Source organism: Homo sapiens, chromosome 12, assembly GCF_000001405.40.
Source record: "Homo sapiens chromosome 12, GRCh38.p14 Primary Assembly".
In the NCBI taxonomy this organism is placed as follows: Eukaryota; Metazoa; Chordata; class Mammalia; order Primates; family Hominidae; genus Homo; species Homo sapiens.
The window spans coordinates 8180119-8203922 of record NC_000012.12 but is presented as its reverse complement, the minus strand read 5'-3'; the positions used below and the strand labels follow the sequence as shown (position 1 = coordinate 8203922).

The following is a 23804-nucleotide window of genomic DNA, read 5'->3' as shown; positions in this document are numbered from 1 at the left end:
GCTAAACTATCACAAGCCCACATTCAGCCTTTCAACATTTGCTTGAGGTTCACTTGTTTCCTTCTTATCTCCATCAAGGGCAGCTTCCTCCTGCTTCTGCTGCTGCAACTCAGGTACACACAAATCATCTGTGGATCCGTTCTTTTTTCAGTAGGGCTTCATTACTCTGAATTTAAGTTAATTAGCTTTTTTTGAGACCTCAGCTCTGTCTTTTAAAATGAAATCTATGATCTATAGATTATCCAGCTTATTCTCTTGGTCAGGGCAAGAGCATTTTTCTATAGCTTTCTAAACTCTAAACAAAAGTAAAAGTTCACTTCTTTTCAGAATCCCCCCATGTCAGAAAGTATTACTATTATCATCAGTTTAGTGATATTTATGGAATTCCAAGTTGACTCTGAGATCAGCTTTTGGGTTAAATTCTTTCTTCCTGATATATAGCCTTTGAAATTTTATTTGCTGCAGATCTCTTGATAGTGAACAATTTTAGTTTTTATCTGTCAATTTCATATTGTTATTTTTGTTCTTGAAAGACAGCATTACTGAGTACCCAGTTCTATACTAACAGTTATTTTCTCTCAATATTTGTTGATACTAGTTTACTCATTTTTAGTTTTTGCCTTATTATAATAATCAGATAAATATTATTTCATTATAAATTGCCCTTTTTTCAATGTTTGTATGGTCTGGTCTTTGGTTTTAATGTTTTATAATTTATAATTTAACTAATGTGAATTTATTTTTATATCATCTGTTAGAAATACGTTCTTTGAATCCATGGATTTATACTTTTTCCTAATTTCTTTTGAGACTCTCTTGAAACGGTGAATCCTCTTACGCTTCTCTCCCCCCATATTTGAATTAAATAAATGTTAGACCTTGTGTTTCCATGCTACATTCTGGGTATATCATTTAAGCATTTTTTTCTTTACTAATTATCCTGTTACCTATATCTAATATATCATTAATAACTTGCATTTATTTTTAAATTTTTTTTATTCAGACCTGCCTTTTTGTTTTGTTTTGTTTTTTTTGGAGACAGAGTCTCACTCTGTTGCCCAGGCTGGAATGCAGTGGTGCAATCCTGGCTCACTGCAACCCCCACCTCCCGGGTTCAAGTGATTCTCCTGCCTCAGCCTCCTGAGTAGCTGGGACTACAGGTGCACATTACCATGTTCAGCTAATTTATACATATATACACTTTTTTTTTAGTAGAGACAAGTTTTCACCATCTTGGGCATGCTGTTCTTGAACTCCTGACCTCATGACCCGCCCGCTTCGGCCTCCCAAAGTACTGCGATTACAGGCATGAGCCACGACGCCCAGTGAGACCTGCCCATTTTTTCTATCATCTATATTGTTTTACTATTGTTTTTACATCTTTGTAATAGTAGATTGTTTCTTTAAACAATCGATACACAGCTGCTTAATTATTTCTCCACATTGACAATTTCAATACATTTAGTTTTCAAAGATTTAAATGTGCTATTCATTTCATTAACTTTTATTCATGGTGTCTTGCTTACCTGATCATTTTTAATACTGAACTCATTGCTCATCCTTAATCTGCCATCATTCTATGGTCTGAAATGAGAATGCTATTATCCAAACTTCCTCTGTGAAACTGACTCAATGCTTTATCTCAATATAGAAGTTCCAGGATTAACGAACTGGAATTTCTGATGGCCCAAGAGTCAGTAGTACCACCATTAGCATTGCTGATAATAGCAGATCTTCCCAGAAGATCTGGGAAACCCTCACACCCCTCCATCAGCTAGCCAATACAAAGTGCCCAGTGCTCAAGCTCCAGTTCACAGACTATTTTTGTGTTTGAAAAAGGAGATATTTTAAAAACTTGCCTAACCGTTTTCAAGAATAGAAATGTTTCAAAGAGATCCTCTAAAATGTATTTGTTCAATAGCAGCAGTCATTTGAGACCAGCTAACTTGCAGTCATGGCCAAAAGCCTAAATCTTTCTTTCATTCTAATCACACATATATTGTACCTTTCGGAGATATCTCAGATTCAGATGTATTCATACTGTTCTATGATTTGGGACACTGCTATAGATTCTTCAAAATGTTACAACATTCCAGTGGTATTTTGGGAGGTATAGAAGGAGAGGGAAAACAATGGGCTCAAGTCTCCCCTGACTTCTCTTCTTACAACATATTTCATTGTCCAAAACTTTTAGAACTATATTAATATAACATTGACAGTGGGTATTCTTCTTTTCCTTCTGATTTTAATAGGATTGAAGGAAGTGTTTTGCTATGAAATTGCTATATGGGTTGTAATCAGACAAATTTTGACTTTTTAAAGGCAATATTCTTCTCATTATTTTAAAATGTTTACCAGGATTCACAGTATTATTTTCAATTCTCCCCGTTCAAAGGCATATTTAAATAACTTGATGAAAGGGGAATATTATATATGTTACTCTGCTATGGAAACAGAAAAACCACCACCAAATTGTATTCTAGATACTTTGTACACCAATTGCACCATCTTTTTTTATCTAAGACATTCAATTCTTCCACAGGTGGGAGCACATGAATTAGTATCATTTACTACTTGTAGTTTTCACTACAGACTTTCAGACTTATGGTGCCTAAAGGAAATAGAATGCTTCTAGCTGGGTTTAAAAGCTACAAATAAACAGAGGAAATATACACTATTTTGAAAGTACCATTTGAGTGTTATGTATGTATTTCAATATTATGTTGCTAATTTTAATTGTTCAAGGTTAAAGAGCTTAAACCTCCTCCTCATGCATTCCTGAATCATCATTACTCCCACACATACATTGTTTGATACAGCATAAACCTAAGTAAGTAAAGATGTGGCAAAATGAAAAAAAAAATAATGTTATATCATTCTCATCTAGGAATGGCATCAGTAGACAGATGTGAATAAAAGTAATGTGATTATAATTTTAAAAATCATATTTAATAGGATCCATTTATTATTAAATGAACATTAAATTACTTAATGTATAATAAATCCTTAACACAATGAAAACTCTTAATGCAGAGTGAGACCAAAATGAAGGTATTAACTGTTTTCTTCCTAATCCTTGCTTTAGTTGTTCTTTCCACCAGATCGTCACTTTATTTGAAGGATATTGTAATAGCACAAAGCCATCAGCTTTACCATTAGAGAGATCTTCATTAAATTATCTTTGTTGTAATAAAGGTCATCTGGAGGAAATACTGGTCTGAATACAATAATAAATGTTAAGCTTTCTAGTATTTTCCACTTTTAGACACAAATTGAAAGAATCATTTATAATGTCAAAAACACTTTTTTCTAACTAATCTATTCTATGACTAAGACACTATTAGCAATTAAAGTAGATAGATCAAATCTAAATGTGGAGAGAAAAAGTAATTTCTACTTATGTTTAAACAGATGAAAGCATGAATAAATTGAAAGCCTGAAATATTAGCTTGGGGGAATAACGTCACTTTCGGGGAGCAGGAGCAGGATATACCAGCCTTTAGCTCTACACACTCCCCCCAAGAAAAAAATATATAGATAGTTATGTACAAACCAAAATAGCTCTGGGAGGGTTCAAGGGACCATTTAAGAAACTATGGCAACACAGTGAAGCCAACAAAAAAAAAAGAGAGAAAGAGAGAGTGAAAGAAAAAAAAAATAGCCATATAGAAAAAACAGCTGCTGAAGTCTGCATACCTGAGATGCGAGAAACATCTTTTTTGGCTAGAAACAAAAGCAGAAAGGGACTATCTGTATCAGCCACAAGGTGGAACCACCATGGCCCTCAGTAACCCACTCTGGCAGAAGACACTGGCATTTTTTGCCACTGGAGTAAGCAACATCCCTTTCTGACAGAAAACCCAGAGAAAAAGATGAAGATGTACCATCTCCTCCCACATCCCTTTTCCCCACCAAAAATGCAGTGACTGTTGGGCCAAACCAGGATTGGAACTGCTACCTTTCTTAAACTGCATATGTCTCTGACATATGAGCAGCAACCATTTCAAGAGCTCCCACATAAAAACGCTCATACTAAATTTATTCTGTTACTTAAGTGTGTTTATGGATTGACATTCCATTTGTGGACTAACTATCTCACTGGATCTTCTTTCCTGCAGTAAGAGGTGCTTTGGGTCCTGCGGAAGTTCATTGTCTCAGTTTGTCTGGTGTTTGCAGAAGAGATGTCTGCAAAGTAGTAGAAGATCAAATTGGTGCCTGCCGAAGAAGGATGAAGTGCTGTAGAGCATGGTGGATTTTAATGCCAATTCCAACACCACTTATCATGTCAGATTATCAAGAACCCCTTAAACGTAAGTTGAAATGAAACTGAGACAAAATAAAAATACATCAAAAGTGAAGTTATCTGCATCTAAGAATATTAAAATATACATATTAAGTACTTCCATCTTGATAACCATCTTGCATTTTCACTTATCAACATAAATGAATAAATACTAATTTCAAATATACCCAAGTACTATTTCTTTGTGAATCATTAACAGATCTTAACAAAACTTTTAAAAATGAGAAAACTGTTACTTTTGTTTTCCAAGATGGTGGACTGAAGGCATTGTTAGTCTGCCTCTTGCACTTGGAAAGACAAAATGCTGTGTAGAGACTCACACTGTGAACTTTCTTTCAAGAAGCTACACAGGAATTTAACAGGAAAATTGAAAAAAGCCACAGACCATTTGAAAGAAACAGCAGGATGCAGCTTACACCATAAGCTAGGCAGAAAATTGTAAGTTTCCAGGGTGTGACAGGAGGGTAAACTGACTCTAAGATATACACTTCCACTGGGAAACCTATCAATCCAGGCCGTGAGGGAAGGCCTTAACCCTACTCAGCGCTGGAGCTGATTTAGGGAAGAGTGGTGAGTATATGAGGAGTGGCATTGGGATGTGCTTTGAATCTCCAGCACATTCCCAGTTTCTGGTAGAATGGAGGGAAGCCATTTCTGATTCTACCTCAGACAGGACCTCCTAGAAGTCTGCCAGCTAACTCAGATGGTGGTCACAGGTTGAGACAACCTCCCAACTGAAATGTGTGATATAATCTTGACTGGGGACAAACTCCCCAGGCCAGAACTGAGAGGTGAGTGGGAAGTGTGCTGCAGCAGCAAGCACAGGAGCTGGGGGACCCTGCTCTGTAGGTGGATCAGGAAGGGTGTGGCCTGAAGGTTGCAGTTGCTGTCTCCATAGGAGAGGCTTATGGTATGGGTCAGTTTTGAGTTCTGAGCTCAGACTTCTTGAAACTTAGCTAGCTACTCCCAGTGGAACACTGTGGGTGTGAGACCTGCCTTGCCAAGTGTGTGGGAGCTGGATGGGGCTTACTACCAAGCTGCTACTCCCCATTCTTCATATGGACTCTCCTTGTACAGAGGCAGAGACAGCTTCACTTCTCTCTGGAAAATTACTCCAGTGGCCCAAGAACTGCCTTCCAATTCCCACTGGATCCACTGCTTGTCCCACACATAGAGAGCCAGAGCATCACCTTACCTGACCTAGTTCCCACTTGGTTTTGCTCAACCACCTACCCTGGTAGATTAACACAAATAACAGAAGAAACTTTTAGAAGCTCTATGGCTCCACCTATTTCCTGAGACACCAGAGTGCCTCCCATGGGTAACATAAGGCAAGTCCAAATCTCACCACTACCACCACAGCTGGCAGTCTTTTGGAAGCACCACCTCCTGGCTGAAGGCCTACTGACAGTCCTTTACAGCATCTGCAGGTAGAATAACATAGCACCCAGGAAGGAGAAAAGTTGTGAGTGACCACATCTGTTACCATTGCTTGCATCACTCTGGCTAACCAGGAGGCCCTGAGTCTGTCCATGTGATGAGTTCATTACTACTACAACTGGCATTTGAGAAATCCAATACACAACACACTAGGACTATTTATAACCAAGGAATCTTTCAGAGTCTACATCACTCCCCTGCCATCCCCATCTGATCAGCTGCTGATACACACTGCTGTGAGACTTGAGGACAGATTACATCACTGGGTCCATTGCAGACATTCTTGAGCACCAGCCTAGTGTGCAGCAGCCCCACTGGGTAGCTAGACCCAGAGAAGCAGCAGCAGCATATGCAGTAATCAGAATTTCAGGGACTCCCCTTGAGTCCCAGAACATTCCACTTGTGGGAAGTTGTTTGGTGGCTTGTTTGGTTTTTTTTTTTTTTCCAGCAGAGGAACATGTGCATGCTAGGCTCAGCGAGGAAAGTCTGTAGCTATATCTCAACAATCAGGCAGACTTGATGCTCAAGAAGAGTCTTGGAGAATGGAGATTTATTTTCCATGTCATACACTACTGCAGACACAATAGTACTGTACTCAGAGTCAGTGTACTGAGGTGAGTGGCCATAAAACCTACTGAGACACCAGCCAGGACAGCTAAAGGAGTACTTGCATTACCACTCCCCCAACCCCAGGCAGCACAGCTTGCAGCTCCAAAAAAGACCGCTTCCTTCTGCTAGAGGAGATTAGAGGAAAGAGTAAAAAGGACTTTGTCTTGCATCTTGGATATCAGTTGAGCCACAGTAGGATAGGGCACTGGTCAGGGTCATGAGGTCCCCATTGTGGATGTAACTAACTTTTTTTTTAATTTTATAGGCTGATAGGCAGAAGGGACTTGTCTCAAATAAGACTTTGGACTTGGAGTTTTGAGTTATGCTGGAATCAGTTAAGACTTTGGGGGACTGTTGGGAAAGCATGATTGGTTTTGAAATATATATAAAAGACATGAGATTTGGGAGGTGCCAGGAGCAGAATAATATGGTTTGGCTCTGTGTCCCCACCCAAACCTCATCTCAAATTATTATCCCCACACATCGACAGAGGGACCTGTAATCGCCATGTGTCGAAGAAGTTTACTTCATGCTATCCTCATGATAGTGAGTGAATTCTTAGGAGATCTGATGGTTTTAAAAGTAGGAGGTTTTTTTTTCTGTGCACTCACTTCTCTCTCCTGCCACCTTGTGAAAAAAGGTGCCTGCTTCTGTCTTGCCTTCCACCGTGACTGTAAGTTTCCTGAGGCCTCCCCAGCGATGCAGAACTGTGAATTAATTAAACATCTTCCCTTTGTAAATTACCCAGTGTGGGGTAGTGTCTTTACAACAGTGTAAAAATGGACTAATACAGGATCCCTGAAATATTCTGAGTCCCTTTGGAGGCAATAATCTCTTCATACCAGCATGGTATACTGATGAAGTTCATCCTGATCTCATGGGCTGAGAAAGAATTTATACATACCCTTTATGTGCCAGCAACTCTATGTGCAGGCTTTTGAGCCCCAGAATGGGCTTTCTTGCCCCATCTAGTCTATCTAACATTTTTCTAAGCCAACTCAATATCTCTCATCCACACTGGGATAGGTCCTAAATTGCTGTCTGTTGCTCACCTGAGATAATGAGATGTTGTTAAATCAGGTGTGTGTGACCCGGATACGTCTATCTGGAGTGGCAGGAGAGGGTCTATCTGTTCACAAGAGTCTCTGCAACATTTTCTAAGTCAGTTCAGAAGCTTATTGATTCACCTTTGCAGGCAACGTAGCCATAAGAAAGGTCTCCAAAAATTCCTGACCTTCTGGAAATTTTTAAAGTCTCCGCAGGTGTCCAGAGGTGACTGTAGCTGTACAGAAAGTCACTGCCTGGATAACTGGCCTGTTAAAGCAAATGAAAAATACGCTAAGCCCACTAAGGATACCCAGAAGCCATGGTATTCAGGTAATTTTTGTCTTTCTTGCAAGTGGGAGAATACTGAGGATTATGCCCTCCTATAGCCAGTGAAGGTTACTCCAGTGCCTAGATGTACCAGTCAAGAGAGGCCATGGGAGAGCAGATGGCAGAAGGGCAGCCAGGTCCTTTCACTGGGGTTTACTGCTTGTCATGAGCTCTGCTGCTGGGCAGCATGTGTGATTTCTGACTGCTGCCATGTCTTCAAGAAGCCTTGCCCCATCAGCCAGCTGTCCTACCTCCTGAAAGCTGGTGCATGTTTGTTAGCATGGAGATCCAGAACAAGAGTCACTTTAGTATTTATCCATAGAGTCCCCATGTGTGCACACGCCTACCTGCAGGTTGTTTTTCCTATTTTTCTGAATGTTAATCTTTGCCTTCTGGAACTCAATATTACCCCATGTGGCCAAATACGGGATAATTGTCAGGGGAAACTGCTCTTTAGGTCCCAAGTCCACGGGGTTAGTAGTATTATCAATATTAAAATTATTAATTATGGATATTAGTATCATAATAATCATCATCATTCCTGTTAATACTCATCAATATGTTTATTATTACTATCATTAAGATGGTTTATTAATGTTATTATTCAGTAATAAATGTTTAGTTTCTCCATTCACTCAGTCAAACTGGAGACTGACTCCAGATATGACTATGGATATGACTGCATATGACTATGAGGGTTACCCTGCAGATATAGACATGAACAGCTGTCCCAGAGACAGCTCTTGCAGCCACCAATTGCTCTTTCATAGGATGAGTTCCTTACAGGAGAGAAGGGCTGATCTCCATGATGTGGTTTCCTCAGGGTCTCATTAACAGCTGGTGATACAGGAGCACTGCCTACCCCTCTTCCTCACGTGAGAGTGGTACATTCTCTGTTGTCATGGCTGAGATGGCTCCATCTTGAACATATAAATTCCAGGTTGTAGAAGCAAAAAAGCAAAAAATGCATTGGATCTGCATAGGGAACTGCAAGCCATCCAGGAACCTCAGGACACACTCAGAAACAACCACGTGGACCACATCGCCCAAGCTCAGCTGCATGGCTCTCCGTTGGGCTAGGATGAGGACCTCTTCCACCAGGCTCAACTGGAGTCCTATCCCTGGTCCCAGGACCACAAGGAGCATCTCTTTTTTTGGAATCACACTGCTCCACTCGAAGGACAGCCCTCAGTTCTCTGTCTTCAAAAGAGGCTGCAAATGGTGCTGATTGGGAGGGAGCCGCCAGCAGCATCACCCTCTACAACTTTAAAATAAAAATGTCTCCCAGAGTGGGATATTATGCTGACCCTACCTAAAAGCACATTCCCTAGATGTTGCTTGTTGCCTGGAGTTTGAACAGCATTGTCCAAACTTTGCCATTGAAGAACAAGGAAACTTACCTGGGGTAGTTGCAGGTGTAGGCCTAAATCCAGGTGTGAAGATCCTTGAACTGGGGGTGTTTCTGTACCTGTAGAGATTGCAGACTGGGAAAGGTAAGGCTCTGGTCCTGCAAGACTCTCTAGAGGTTAAGAATGTGATCTGCAGAAAGACATGAACTAGCACAGGCAACTGTAGAACATCTGCCCCCAAGAATCATAAATGCCTTTTCACTCATCCTGCAGAATGTATTCTCTACTTTAATGATTGTGTGGGATGTGACTTTAATTTCTAGGCATGGGGATTGATCTTAAGAAAAAGCAGGGAAAGTGCCTTACCTGTCCTGGGACTCTGCTCCACTTGCCAACATTTGAGTGGATTAATTTGTGTGGTAGTCAAGCTACAGGAAATAAAGGGACCAGTCAGTCTTCCACACAATGACACAGAGGCCAATTATCACAAGTCCAAATCTCCATTTGTCATCCAGCTCACATTCCCGCTGTGGCACAAGGTCACATGCACTCGTGTCCAACTCCAAATAGTAGCTTTGCATAGTATGTCAGCACTCTCCCACCCATCACTTCTTCTAGAAGGTCTTCCTCTGGATTGGAAATGGCCTGTGATAAAAGATAATGACCACAGGAAGCAGTTGTATTTTTAGGATCTGATCCACATGAGAAGGTAGGACATCTAATTTGGTCTGAGGACTTTACCTATGCTAACATTTCAGGTAACTGACCCCTGTGTCTATAGATTTACAATGGGAATGGAGTGAGAGATGATGAAAACTGTTTTCTTTCCTAGTGAGTATGAGGTGGAACCCTTACATCATGCTCTCAGTTGCCTGTTCTCCATACAGAGCCATCTCCCATTTAGAGAGAAGACATGGATTGTCAGTGGGAGCAAGCCTGAGACATGCCCACTGGCAGCTCCCAGAAACCCCTGAAACCTGGCCACATCATGAAGTTTCAACTGTGGGTCTCATGCCTCTCTTGGTATCTTGAATTCAGAACATTTAATGTCATGGCAGGCCAGGGAACCTCCTCTGCTCTAGTTTGGCTCTCTATCACACATTCACACACACACACACACACACACAAAGTCACACACACTCACACATCAACCTACTGGCAAACCAAGGTAGAAACACACACACACACATACCTGCTCAATCCAGGCCAATATCCCTGATGAACATCAATGCAAAAATTCTTAATAGAATACTAGCAAACAGAATCCAGCAGCACATCAAAAAGCTCATCCACCACAATCAAGTCGGCTGCATCTTTGGGATGAAAGGCTGGTTCAACATACACAAATCAATAAATGTAATTCACCATGTAAACAGAACTAAAGACAAAAACCCCATGATTATTTCAGTAGACTCAGAAAAGATCTTTGATAAAATTCAACATTCCTTTATGTTAAAAACCTCATGAAACTAGGTATTGCTGGAACATATCTCAAAATAATAAGAGCCATTTATGACAAACCCACAGCCAATATCATATTGAATATTCAAGAGCTGGAAGCATTCCGTTTGAAATTCGGCACAAGGCAAGGATGCCCTCTCTCACCACTCCTACTCAATATAGTACTGGAAGTTCTGGCCAAGGCAATCAGGCAAGAGAAAGAAATAAAGCATATTCAAATAGTAAAAGAGGAAGTTGAACTGTCTTTGTTTGCAGATGACATGATCCTATATCTATAAAATCCCATCATCTCAGCCCAAAAGATTCTTAAGCTTATAAGCAACTTCAGTAAAGTCTCAAGATACAAAATCAGTGTGCAAAAATCACAAGCATTCTTATACAGCAACAATAGACAAGAAGAGAGCCAAATCACAAATGAGTTCCCATTTACAATTGCTGCAAAGAGTATAAAATAGCTAGGAATATAGCTAACAAGGCAAGTGAAGGACCTCTTCAAGGAGAACTGCAAACCACTACTCAAGGAAATAAGAGAGGACGCAAACAAATGGAAAAACATTCCATGCTCATGGGTAAGAAGAATCAATATCATGAAAATGCCATACTTCCCAAAGTAATTCATAGATTCAATGCTATTCCCATAAACTACCATGGACATTCTTTACAAAATTAGAAAAAACTACTTCAAAATTCATGTGGAATGAAAAAAGAGCACATATACCCAGGACAATCCTAAGCTAAAATAACAAAGTTAGAGGCATCATGCTACCTGACTTCAAACTATATTACAAGGCTATAGTAACCCAACAGCATGGTAGTGGTACAAAACAGACACATAGACCAATGGAATGGAATAGATATATCAGAAATAAGATTGCACATCTACAACCATTTTATTTTTGATGAAAACCAGCAATGGGGAAAGGATTCCCTATTTAATAATAAATGGTGCTTGAAAAACTGGCTAGACATATGCAGAAAACTGAAACTGTACCCCTTCCTTATGCCTTATACAAAAATGAACTGAAAATGGATTAAAGACTTAAATGTAAAACCCAAAACTGTAAAAAATCCAACCCCATATAAAAGTGGGCAAAAGCTGGGTACAGTGGCTCATGCCTGTAATCCCAGCAGTTTGGGAGGGTGAAGTGGGCAGATAACTTGAGGCCAGGAGTTCAAGATCAGCCTGGCAATGCTGGTGAAACCACGTCTCTACTGAAAATACAATAAATTAGCCGGATGTAGTGGTGCGGGCCTGTAATCCCAACTACTCAGGAGCCTGAGAGAGAAGAATCACCTGAATCTGGGAGGCAGAGGTTGCAGTGACCCAAGATTGTGCCACTGAACTCCACCCTGAGTGACAGAGCAAGACTCTGTCTTAAAAAATAAAAATTTCAAAATTTCAAAAGTGGGCAAAGGACATGAACAGACACTTCTCAAAAGAAGACATTTATGCAGCCAACAAACATGAAAAAAAAGCCCAACATTACTGATCATTAGAGAAATACAAATCAAAACCACAGTGAGATACCATCTCATGCCAGTCAGAATGGTGATTATTAAAAAGTCAAAAAACAACAGATGCTGGTGAGACTGTGGGGCAATAGGAACACTTTTACACTGTTGGTGCGAATGTAAGTTAGTTCAACCACTGTGGAAGACTGTGGTGATTTTTCAAAGATCTAGAATCAGAAATACCATTTGACCCAGCAATCCCATTACTGGGTATATACCCAAAGGAATATAAATTCTTGTATTATAAAGATACATGCATGCATATGTTCATTGCAGCACTATTCACAATAGCAAAGACATAGAATCAACCCAAATGCCCATCAATGATAGACTGGATACAGAAACTGTGATACATATACACCATGGAATACTATGCAGCCATAAAAAGGAATGAGATCATGTCCTTTGCAGGGACATGGATGAAGCTGGAAGTCATTATTCTCAGCAAACTAATGCAGGAACAGAAAACCAAACACACATGTTCTCACTTACAAGTGGGAGATGAACAATGAGAGAACATAGACACAGGGAGGGGAACAACACACACTGGAGTCTGTCTTGGGGTGAGTGGGGAGGGAGTGCATCAGGATAAATAGCTAATGCATGTGGGCTGAATACCTAGGTGATGGGTTGATAGGTACAGCAAACCACCATGGCACACATTTACCTATGTAACAAACCTGCACATCCTGCACATGTATCCCAGAACTTAAAATGAAATAAAATAAAGTTTTAAAAAACTTTATTTTTTCTAACCTTCCAAAATGCAGGGATTACAGGTGTGAGCTACCATGCCTGGCCCTGTTTTAACATATCTGAACAAGATTTAAGACATCAGTTTGAAAAGAGACCCTCTATGGCAGCAACATGAATTCTGTCAAACCTGAAGCAAGAACAAACATCAAATTTACGGTGAAGCTGGGGTACAAAAAATGGTGAAATAAATTATTCTTTATGAAAAGTCTATGGGAAAAATGACCTGAAGAATCAGTCATTTACAAATGGATACCTTATTCTAAGAAGAGATAATACAATGTTGAAGATGAAGTCAACAGAGGAGGGACATCCATACCAATTTTTGAGAAAAAAAAATCGTTTCTATGCCCTAATTGAGGAGGATTGACAATTAACAAGAGATATTATAGCCAACACCACAGACATCTCAATTGGTTCAGCTTACACAATACTGACTATAACGTGAAAGCTGAGAAACTTTACATTTGATGAGTCCCAAATACCCTTGTGCCTAGATCAGCAGTGGACAAAAGCAGAGCTATTAGTGGCTATTTTGAGCAAGCGGAATCAAGATCCTGAAGCATTATTTTGAAGAATTATAACAGGGAGTGAAACTGGCTTTATCAATAAGATCCTGAAGACAAAGCACAATTCGAGCAATGGCTACCAAGAGGTAGAAGTGGTCCAGTCAAAGCAAAAGCAAACTTCTCAAAAGCAAAAGCCATGGAGGTTTTGGGGATGCTCAAGGCATTTTGCTGGTTGACTTTCTGTAAGATCAAAGCACCATAACATCTGCTTACTAGGAGAGTTCTTAGAGAAAATTAGCAAGTACTTTTGCAGAAAAGCGCCCTGTAAAGCTTCACTAGAGAGTCACTCTGCACCACAACAACACTTCTGCTCCTTCCTCTCATCAAACATGGGTAATTTTGCAAGAGTTTTCATGGGAAATTATTAGGCATCAACATTACAGTCCTGATTTGGTTTCTTCTGACCTTTTTTTCCCTAATCTTAAAATAACTGTAAAGGGCACCCGTTTTTCTTTAGTTACTAATAGAAGACTGCATTGACAAGGTTAAATTCCCGTTACCCTCAGTTGTTTAGCAATGGACTGAATGGCTGGGATCATCCCTTAATGGAGTGTCTGGACCTCAGTAGAGCTTATATTGAGAAACAAAGTTTATATTTATATTTTTATTGTTAATTCCATTTTTCACTGACATTTTTAAATCCCTTCACAATTCACATTTGTCTCAAAGGTATTTAAATTTAGAAATCATATCAAGTGTGAAATAAAGAAAATTATATAGAGAGAGGGAGAACAGAACCTATAAATATGCATGTTTGTGTACATACATCCATATACATACATATGTGTGTGCATGCAGTAATTTTATTCTCCTAAAGCAATGCCTCTGCCTTCCACCCTCACTGCACATGTCCTAGTCCTGTGATGTCCCTGGAACTGAGCACCTGATTTCCTTCTCTGCCTCCCACATGAACAGGGAATAGAAATGGAAACCACGCTCTGTGGTTGCTGTTGTGAAAATCCATGTTCCCCACAGGCTGAGTTTGGCATCTTACATTCTAGTTCCCATTGTAAAAAAGCAAGCAACAGACAAAAACTACAAAAGAAAAAATGAAATAGTTGAAAGTCTAGAGCCACAGAGGTTCCGGATCCACCCACCGCCCACGGTGACCTCCACAGCCCTCCAGGCCTGAGGGCAGTTATGCCTGAACAGCCTGCCTCTTCACCATCCACGCAGGAAAGTGACTTTAAACTTCAATAGCTATTACTCTGTTCCACAAGGAACCAGGTCAACATTCAAAGTCAGTGGTCTGACAACTCTAAGCTTTGGCCGGAAAGTATTGGAAGCATTTAACTTGCAGTGGATGAAGCAGCCCGGCCCCACTGCACACAACACACTCACAGGGACTCAAAGGAAGAGACTCAGGATCCGCTGGGTGGAAGTGAGGACAGACCCAGAAACACAGGGGGTGGGAGGTGGTCAAACCAGGAAGGCTCAGGACCTGACCTCCTCCTAGGCCCTGCCCCTCTAGAACTCGCACTTTTTTCTGACCCAGAAGCGGATTTCACTGATGGAAAAGATGTTCAGTATTTCTGGTCCAGCCCAGTAAGCTGCTCCCCTTGCTCAGCCTTCCACACCCCTGCAGACGTCACAATCCCTGCACCCACTAACCTGACAAGGGAGCTATGCATCACCTGGAGACAGTCCTAGGCCTGCACTCCTGTGATGGGGTCCAGAGTCTGCATCCATTTCTGGTTAAAACTGCTGTAAGGCTGGTGGCTGTCTTGGCCTTCCCTGCTTCCTCTCTGTTCACTTCTCCCCTCCTCACCCCATGTGAAGTTTTTACTCAGGAGATGGATTCTCACCCCTCTTGGAACATCAAGGACAGTGCCAGGACACCACACCATCCCCTTGACCCTGGGATTCTGTAGACCTCAGTCTTCTCCTGAGGTCCCCTCCCTCCCTACCTCATTTTTTCCATACTTCTGGGGCCTGGGCCTGCTACACCTCAGGCTTCCTCTTCACAGTCACAGAGTGAGGGAGTCCCCTTCATCCTTGGGCTCTGGCCACAGCTCACCTGCTGCAGGACACTCAGCAGCTTTCAGGAGTTCATCCAGACATCCAGCTGGAAGTGGGATTTCCTGGAAGGAAAGCAGGAACCCAGAATTACACTGAATTCTAACACCAGGGCCCAGATTCCCCTTCTGCATGGGACACTAAGCTGCAAACACTACACAGGCACTTAATGCTCAGCTGTCCTTCTAACATCTGGTCCAATTGTGTCCCTCCTCCTTGGAATATCTCAGAAAATGTATCGCCACCTAGAGTTGTTTGAAAGCATCATCCTATGTGATTCCAGACCATCAGGGGGTGCAATGGGTCCTCACCAGTATTTCCACTCTGCTTGGAAGACTTAGAAAATCCTGAGGCTGCTCAGAGGGTCAGATTCCCATCTCTGTGTTTCAGTAAAACTTCAGTCTTCCCCGGACAAGTGAGGAGACAGAAAATGTCTAGTCCCTGGCACATCTTTTGCAAGCAATGGCGGCTCCCAGGAATCAAAATTATCAACGAATATATTTTTGAGACTCTGGTCAAAAGAAGAGTCATCCTGCAATTTCAGGTAGGATGGAGTGGTTCTGTGGCTCCTGAGGTGACTTTGAAAAGATCTTGACTCTCAGAAGGACCAAGGAGGACATTTCTGGCATTTCCAGACCAGGAAGAGTGAGTGATGGACCTCCAGTGTTACTTGGAAAACTTTTTGTTGGACAGCTTTGTAATAAGAGGATCTTGCTTTGGCTTTCAGGCCTTCACATAGGTTGTTTAGCTCATGGAAGTGTTTCTGCATTTCTGCATAGGGTCAGGATGCCTTCTCAAGTCGTCCCTGCAATTATGAGACAGTTGCTTTCTCCAGAGGTCACTTAGAATAATACAAGAGGCTTCACCCTCAAAGGGACACCAGACAATATAGCCACAGTTCAGCCAAGATTATCTGTATTTACATACCTGTAAAGTAACACTCCTAGTGATCTCCATTAACTTGGACATCTTTCATGAATAGAGAAACTCTAGTGATTGTTATCTAACAGCTGCCACAAAAATTAACCAATAAAAAGAAATGATAAATGAAAAATAATTAATAATCATGATAATGAACGCAATGACCTAAATAGTATGAATTTTAATACTGGTGACAATATGAACATAAGGATACAAGAATTAATGTGGAGCTTCCCCTAAATATATGAAGACTTCACAAATTGGGTCCTCCTTGTGTAATTTGGAGTCAGAGTCAAAGAATTTCTCTATGAAATGTGTTCCATGATGGCAAACATCAAAAACAGGAGGTGAAAGAAAAGCAAGCCGCAGGAGACCGTGGGCTAATATGAACACTTGTGTGCAAACCTCTCTCATCAAGAACTACCAGCCAGAGATGAAGGGACTGTGATTTGTGTCCTGCCCACCACTGGGTACACAAAAGCTTTCAGTAGTGCAACCAGATGGCTGGTTTGGCCTGGCTCCCTGCAAGGAAGACACGTCTCTGATCCCCACCAGCCCATCAGTCCTGGAACTCAGAATCCTACATGCAGTAAACATGAAGCTCCAACTCCATAGCTGACTTTACTTCCTTACTGTCCTTCTGCCATTTGGTGTTGCAGGTGCTCTCCAGATCTGGACTTATTGGCTCCCCTACCTTTACCAAGTGAACTCAGGATGTATCATTCTCAGTCTTCTCCTGCCAGTCCAAAGTGAAACTCACCAATACGGGCATAACCTGGATGGGCTTCCTTGGAATATTTAGAAAACAATGAGCTTGCTCGGGGGTGGTGTGAGCTCTAGGAGTAGAGTTACAGTCTCCCATGGAAACCTGAGAGGACTTAGAATATTCCCAAAGGCCTAAGCTCTCCAATCTGTCCTGGAAACATCAGGAATGATATACTCGGTCTTCCTGAGGCTCCAAAATTTTTCTAAATAAACTCAGAGGTTACAGAACGATTTTTCTCTTGGGAACTGAAGTGGAGTTATTTGCCTTCTGCCAGCATCTCACTTTTTTTTTCTCTAAGTTAGCTTTTGAGCCCAGAAGTAGATATTCCTTGTATTTGATTTACACAGGGAGCTTCCTAGAATGCCCGTGCCTCTGGATATTTTCTGCATTCACTCAGGTATTGACAAAATGCTGCAGTTCTACTGAAAATCTCTGAAATGACCATTTGATCACCTGAGTAACTTTAGAATGTGTCTTCTATGGAAGCCCTGGAGCCTCCCTTCTGGTATTTCATACATTGCTGGTACCAAGTACCCAGGGTGAAACCCTCCATCAGACATTGTTGGCAATTCCAGTATGGAGATGACACTAACGTGATGGGGCTCAAGAATCAGATGGTAGAAGACCAGCTGGGAGGTGAAGTCTCAGTAGGCTAGGGGCTTAATGTTCGACGCACACCAGACTTCTGAGACTCAGGAGGCAGGTGTGGATCTGTCTGCCCAGTGCCTCTCATCTACAGCCTGGACCAGCTATTTCTTGGGGTGAACTACTGAAGGCTTTTGTACGACCTGTGTCAGGCAAGACTCTGGCCAGACCCTTTGCCATAGTCCATTTGTAATGTATTTCCACATGGCACAGGTATCTCCACTTTTGCCCATGCTCTCATGTGGCTCAGAATTATTCTCCCTACTGCCACTCTTCTTTGCCATCACAGAATATATTTCAAGATGTAGCCCTAAGCTTCTCCATCTAATCAATAACATGAGGGCTCGTATGGGAATATTGCCACAGGCTTACAGGAATATTTCTTAAATATCTGCTTTTTTATTACTCTCTTCATTAAATTGACATTTATATCATCACCATTATGATTGTTATTAATGTTATTATTATATTGGTACAGTTCTTTATCATGGATATATTTGTGGTAGTTTTTATGCAATGTTGAATAATTTTTTTATGTTCCTGAAGACTGTTGAATTTGCTGAAGATGATTAAAAGACAACCTTAAAACATAAATACCACAGCAACCCCAGGACTCCTACTGTACTGCCTGGTGTCCTGTAGAAGAATGGGCTTCCTGAATTATTCTTTTATTTTTCAGGCAAGTACCTATTCATACCAGCATAGGAGACTGATGAAGTGCACCCTCATCTTGCCATGGGCTCAGAAAGAATTCATACATATGCTTTATGTGATAGCAACTCTATGTGTAGGCCTGTGAGCCCCAGAATGCACTTTTTTTTTTTTTTAATGTTTTTTTTTTTTTTTTTTTTTTTTAATTGATCATTCTTGGGTGTTTCTCGCAGAGGGGGATTTGGCAGGGTCACAGGACAATAGTGGAGGGAAGGTCAGCAGATAAACAAGTGAACAAAGGTCTCTGGTTTTCCTAGGCAGAGGACCCTGCGGCCTTCTGCAGTGTTTGTGTCCCTGGGTACTTGAGATTAGGGAGTGGTGATGACTCTTAAGGAGCATGCTGCCTTCAAGCATCTGTTTAACAAAGCACATCTTGCACCGCCCTTAATCCATTCAACCCTGAGTGGATACAGCACATGTTTCAGAGAGCACAGGGTTGGGGATAAGGTCACAGATCAACAGGTTCCCAAGGCAGAAGAATTTTTCTTAGTACAGAACAAAATGAAAAGTCTCCCACGTCTACCTCTTTCTACACAGACACGGCAACCATCCGATTTCTCAATCTTTTCCCCACCCTTCCCCCCTTTCTATTCCACAAAACCGCCATTGTCATCATGGCCCGTTCTCAATGAGCTGTTGGGTACACCTCCCAGACGGGGTGGTGGCCAGGCAGAGGGGCTCCTCACTTCCCAGTAGGGGCAGCCGGGCAGAGGCGCCCCTCACCTCCCGGACGGGGCGGCTGGCTGGGCAGGGGGCTGACCCCCCCACCTCCCTCCTGGACGGGCCGGCTGGCTGGGCAGAGGGACTCCTCACTTCCCAGTAGGGGTGGCCGGGCAGAGGCGCCCCTCACTTCCTGGATGGGGCGGCTGGCCGGGCGGGGGGCTGACCCCCCCACCTCCCTCCTGGACGGGGCGGCTGGCCGGGCAGAGGGGCTCCTCACTTCCCAGTAGGGGCGGCCGGGCAGAGGCGCCCCTCACCTCCCGGACGGGGCGGCTGGCCGGGCCGGGGGCTGACCCCCCCACCTCCCTCCCGAGCGGGGTGGCTGGCCGGGCAGAGGGGCTCCTCACTTCCCAGTAGGGGCGGCCGGGCAGAGGCGCCCCTCACCTCCCGGAAGGGGCGGCTGGCCAGGTGGGGGGCTGACCCCCCCCACCTCCCTCCTGGATGGAGCGGCTGGCCGGGCAGAGGGGCTCCTCACTTCCCAGTAGGGGCGGCCGGGCAGAGGCGCCCCTCACCTCCTGGACGGGGCGGCTGGCCGGGCGGGGGGCTGATCCCCCCACCTCCCTCCCAGATGGGGCGGCTGGCCGGGCAGGGGGCTGACCCCCCCACCTCCCTGCCGGACGAGGTGGCTGCCGGGCAGAGACGCTCCTCACTTCCCAGACGGGGTGGCTGCTGGGCGGAGGGGCTCCTCACTTCTCAGATGGGGCGGCCGGGCAGAGACGCTCCTCACATCCCGGACGGGGTGGCAGGGCAGAGGTGCTCCCCACATCTCAGACGACGGGCGGCCGGGCAGAGACGCTCCTCACTTCCCAGATGGGATGGCGGCCAGGAAGAGGTGCTCCTCACTTCCTAGATGGGATGGCGGCTGGGCAGAGACGCTCCTCACTTTCCAGACTGGGCAGCCAGGCAGAGGGGCTCCTCACATCCCAGACGATGGGCGGCTGGGCAGAGACGCTCCTCACTTCCCAGACGGGGTGGCGGCCGGGCAGAGGCTGCAATCTCGGCACTTTGGGAGGCCAAGGCAGGCTGCTGGGAGGTGTAGGTTGTAGCGAGCCGAGATCACGCCACTGCACTCCAGCCTGGGCACCATTGAGCACGGAGTGAACGAGACTCCGTCTGCAATCCCAGCACCTCAGGATGCCGAGGCTGGCGGATCACTCACGGTTAGGAGCTGGAGACAAGCCCGGCCAACACAGCGAAACCCCGTCTCCACCAAAAAAATACGAGAACCAGTCAGGCGTGGCGGCGCGCGCCTGCAATCGCAGGCAGTCGGCAGGCTGAGGCAGGAGAATCAGGCAGCAGTACCGTCCAGCTTCAGCTCGGCATCAGAGGGAGACCGTGGAGAGAGGGAGAGGGAGACCATGGGGAGAGGGAGAGGGAGAGGGAGAGGGAGAGGGAGAGGGAGAGCCAGAATGCACTTTCTTTCACCAACTAGTCCACCTAACTTTTCTAAGTCAAATCCCCTCTCCATGCTTGGATAGGTCATGAATGGCTTTCTGTTACCTACCTAAGATGAAGGGATATTGCTAAATCAGGTTTGTGGCCAAGAAACTTTTACCTGGAGTGGCAGGAGAGGGCCTATCTGTTCACCAGAGTGTCTGTAACTTTTCTTTTTTCTTCCTTTTTATTTAATTAATTAATTAATTAATTTATTTATTTATTTATTTATTTATTTTTTGAGATAGAGTCTCGCTCCGTCGCTCAGGCTGGAATCCTGATCTTGGCTCGCTGCAACCTCCGATTCCCAGGTTCAAGCGATTCTCCTGCCTCAGCCTCCTGAGTAGCTGGGATTACAGGTGTGTGTCACCATGCCCGGCTAATTTTTGTATTTTTAGTAGAGAGGGGGTTTCACCATGTTAGTCAGACTGGTCTCAAACTCCTGACCTCATGATCCGCCTGCCTTGGCCTCCCAAAGTGCTGGGATTACAGGCATAAGCCACCGCACCTGGCCTCTGCAACATTTTCTAAGTCAGTATAGAAGCTCTTTGAACCACCTTTTCAGTCGAAGAACTCATGAAAAAGTCCTCCAAGAACTTGTGACCTTCTGGAAATTGTCAAAATCTCTACAGGTGTCCAGAGTCATCTAGATCTGTATTGCAAGCCACTGACTGGGTTCCAGCATTATTAAAGCAAATGCAAAATATGCCATGCCCAGCAAAAAAAATCCAGAAGCCATGGTATTTAGCTGTTTCCATCTTTCTTCCCTCCTGCAGTTGGGAGAGTACTGAGTATCATGCCCTCCTGCAGCCTCTGGAGGACATGCCAGTGCCTAGAGGTACCAGTAGAGAGGGGCCATGAAAGAGCAGATGACAGCCAGGTAGCTGGGAATGACATTGTCCTGGGGCTTATTGCTTGTCATGAACTCTGCCACTGGGCAACATGTGCAGGTGTGGACCCGTGCCTTCTCTGGATCCCTGCCCCATCAGCCAGCTGTCTTATCTCCTGAAAGCTGGTAGGTGTTGGTCAGCATGGTGTTCTAGGACCAGGGTTATATTAACATTCCCTCTTAGGCTGAAACACCAGAAGTTAACACAGGAGTCCACAGGTGTGCACATACTAACCTCCAGATTGTTTTTCTTCTCGTTCTAGATGTTCATCCTTGCTTTTGGGACTTGAAATAACCCTACACAGCCAAATATTTATGCCTATTATCCACTTATGGAAAACTTATATGTCCCAAGTCCATAGGGTTAGTATTATTATCAGTATTAAAACCATTAGTACTAGTATCATGATGATCATTATTCCTGTTAATAGCCATCAATATTTTTATTACTGCCATTGTTAATATGGATTTTTCATTATTGTACAGCAATGAATATAGTTTATCCATTCACAAATGGTGTTCAGTTACCAAAGATGTCCAACAAGGCATGTTCTACAGACATATACATACACAGCTGTCCTGGAGACCCAGCTTTGCCACCAATTGCTCTTTCGTAAGATGAGATCCCCCAATACCCACCAGTTTTTCAGGACTCGACCTGAGCTGGCTCAGCTAGACCTGGAAAAGTTTCCTATGCCCAAATGTACTTGGAAAAATTTAAAAGTCTCTTCAGAGGCCCAGTAATAGCTTTTGGCAGCTTCTAAGACCAGGGAGGGTTTCTTGGCCATCCAGAGCCATTCAAATATTCTAAGTAAACTCAAGGATCCAGAAACCCCACTTGCAGTCATGAAATACCAGTGAATGGCCTCTGTGAGTCTCTTCAAGTTTTTCAAAGATGACTGCCTGGGAAGGCTGGCCAGGAAGTCACCCAAGCCCAACCTTCTGCAGGATGTTCTATGTCAGCCAGGGACCCAGTGAATTGCCATTGAACAGAAGGGAGGAACAGAGACAGCATGCCTGAGCTTCTGGAAACATTCTAAGTGTCCTTGTTGGCCCAGAAAAGACTGGTGCTACCATATGAGGCACAGACTTGGCAACCTACCTACTCCAGGAACCACAGAAGGTTTAAAGGTTCCCAGGAAGTCCCAGGAAGGGCAGCCATGGCCCTTTAGAGCCATCAGATTGTATTCTAAGTCTACGTGGGAGACAGTGCGCTTAGCTTCATAAAAACACCAGTGGAGGTGCTAACACTTGCCCCAGTATCCAGTCTTTTCTACCTCATCTCAGAGCCAGGCAGCCACTATTTCCCAAAGCTGCTGTGCAATGAAAGGGGAATATTCTAAGTGCTCTCCTGTGCCCACGAAATTCTGTGGCTGTGCTGAAAGACAGGAGTTGTCCTCCGGAATGCTCTTCAGAAATCTGACAGCACTGGTCAAGATTAAAGAAGCTCAATTCAACGTCATACAAAACCAATCCCCCCCAAAAAAAAAAAAAATGCATAGTGAGACAAAATGAACACACCTGCTAATAATCATAAATGACAATAATAACAACAATGATGATCTTAGTGATAATGCCACCAACACTGTTAATGGCAATAACAATAAACCTGAGGTAATGAGTGTTAGGGTCCCGATTCACCGATGTGAAGGATGGCGACAATTTCTGGCCTCACAGAAATAAAGGAAAAGTAAACACCTGGAGGAGGAGGAGGTGAACCTGGAGCTCCCGCCGGCCTCTGGGCGCTCCTTGGTGGAAGGAGAGGGTCTTGGTCCTGAGCCTGCCCGGGATCCACCTACACCAGAACCCCGGAGTCCCAGTCCCTGGATGGGCTCAGTCCCACCCAGGCCAGACGCCCCGGAGCCCCGTAGCCCGGGTCCTCCAGCCCTCGCTGCCGCCTCTTCTCGCGGAGCCGGGGCCGCCCCCGCGCCACCTCAGCCTCTGCGGGGCTCTGGGAGGGCAGCGCCGAGGATGCTCCGGGCCCAGCGCGGGTATCCGAGCCCAGAGTGGGTATCCGGCCTCAGGCGGATACTGACGCCCTGAGGGCGCGGAATAGGGCGGCCTGCGCAGGGCCCGCCATCTCGGGCCTTGCAAAAAGAGCGGCCTCTCCAACGCCCCTACCGGAACCTCCCCGGAGGCCCCAGCCCCAAAGCCAGGGCGATGGCGCCTCCCTGACCATGGGTGAAGAAAAACTCAGGTCCTCCCTGGAGACCCGGCCCGCCGCGGGAGGCAGACCGCGCATGCGCCCTGCATGGCCGGAAAGATGAGTTTCATTGCCCTCTGCCTGCCATGAGGTGGCAGCACAGGACGTTTGGCCTTAGCGGTGGACCTG

The 23804-nt window shown here is 44.1% G+C and overlaps 1 long non-coding RNA gene and 1 pseudogene across 1 annotated transcript, besides 4 other annotated features; one reads left to right on the top strand and one right to left on the bottom strand.

Moving 5' to 3' along the window:
* Positions 1 to 4324, top strand: part of DEFB109F (defensin beta 109F (pseudogene)) — a 19313-nt pseudogene extending 14989 nt beyond the window's left edge.
* FAM66C (family with sequence similarity 66 member C) lies at positions 2923 to 23714 on the bottom strand. Its single transcript, NR_026788.1, has 8 exons — positions 23171 to 23714; positions 15698 to 16191; positions 15278 to 15451; positions 10268 to 10403; positions 9442 to 9720; positions 9127 to 9210; positions 7405 to 7666; positions 2923 to 4215 (listed from the first exon to the last, which is right to left on the bottom strand). It is a non-coding gene; the product is annotated as a family with sequence similarity 66 member C (long non-coding RNA).
* Positions 22851 to 23350: an enhancer, noted in NCBI's record as "H3K4me1 hESC enhancer chr12:8333169-8333668 (GRCh37/hg19 assembly coordinates)". NCBI's record gives its function as "activates a minimal SCP1, AML or CMV promoter by ChIP-STARR-seq in primed H9 embryonic stem cells {active_cell/tissue: H9 hESC(primed)}" and the evidence as "EXISTENCE:reporter gene assay evidence [ECO:0000049][PMID:30033119]".
* Positions 22851 to 23395: a biological region, named in NCBI's record as "H3K4me1 hESC enhancer GRCh37_chr12:8333169-8333668".
* Positions 23276 to 23395: a silencer, noted in NCBI's record as "silent region_4208". NCBI's record gives its function as "represses an Ori minimal core promoter by ATAC-STARR-seq in GM12878 lymphoblastoid cells {active_cell/tissue: GM12878}" and the evidence as "EXISTENCE:reporter gene assay evidence [ECO:0000049][PMID:35858748]".
* Positions 23546 to 23675: an enhancer, noted in NCBI's record as "active region_5930". NCBI's record gives its function as "activates an Ori minimal core promoter by ATAC-STARR-seq in GM12878 lymphoblastoid cells {active_cell/tissue: GM12878}" and the evidence as "EXISTENCE:reporter gene assay evidence [ECO:0000049][PMID:35858748]".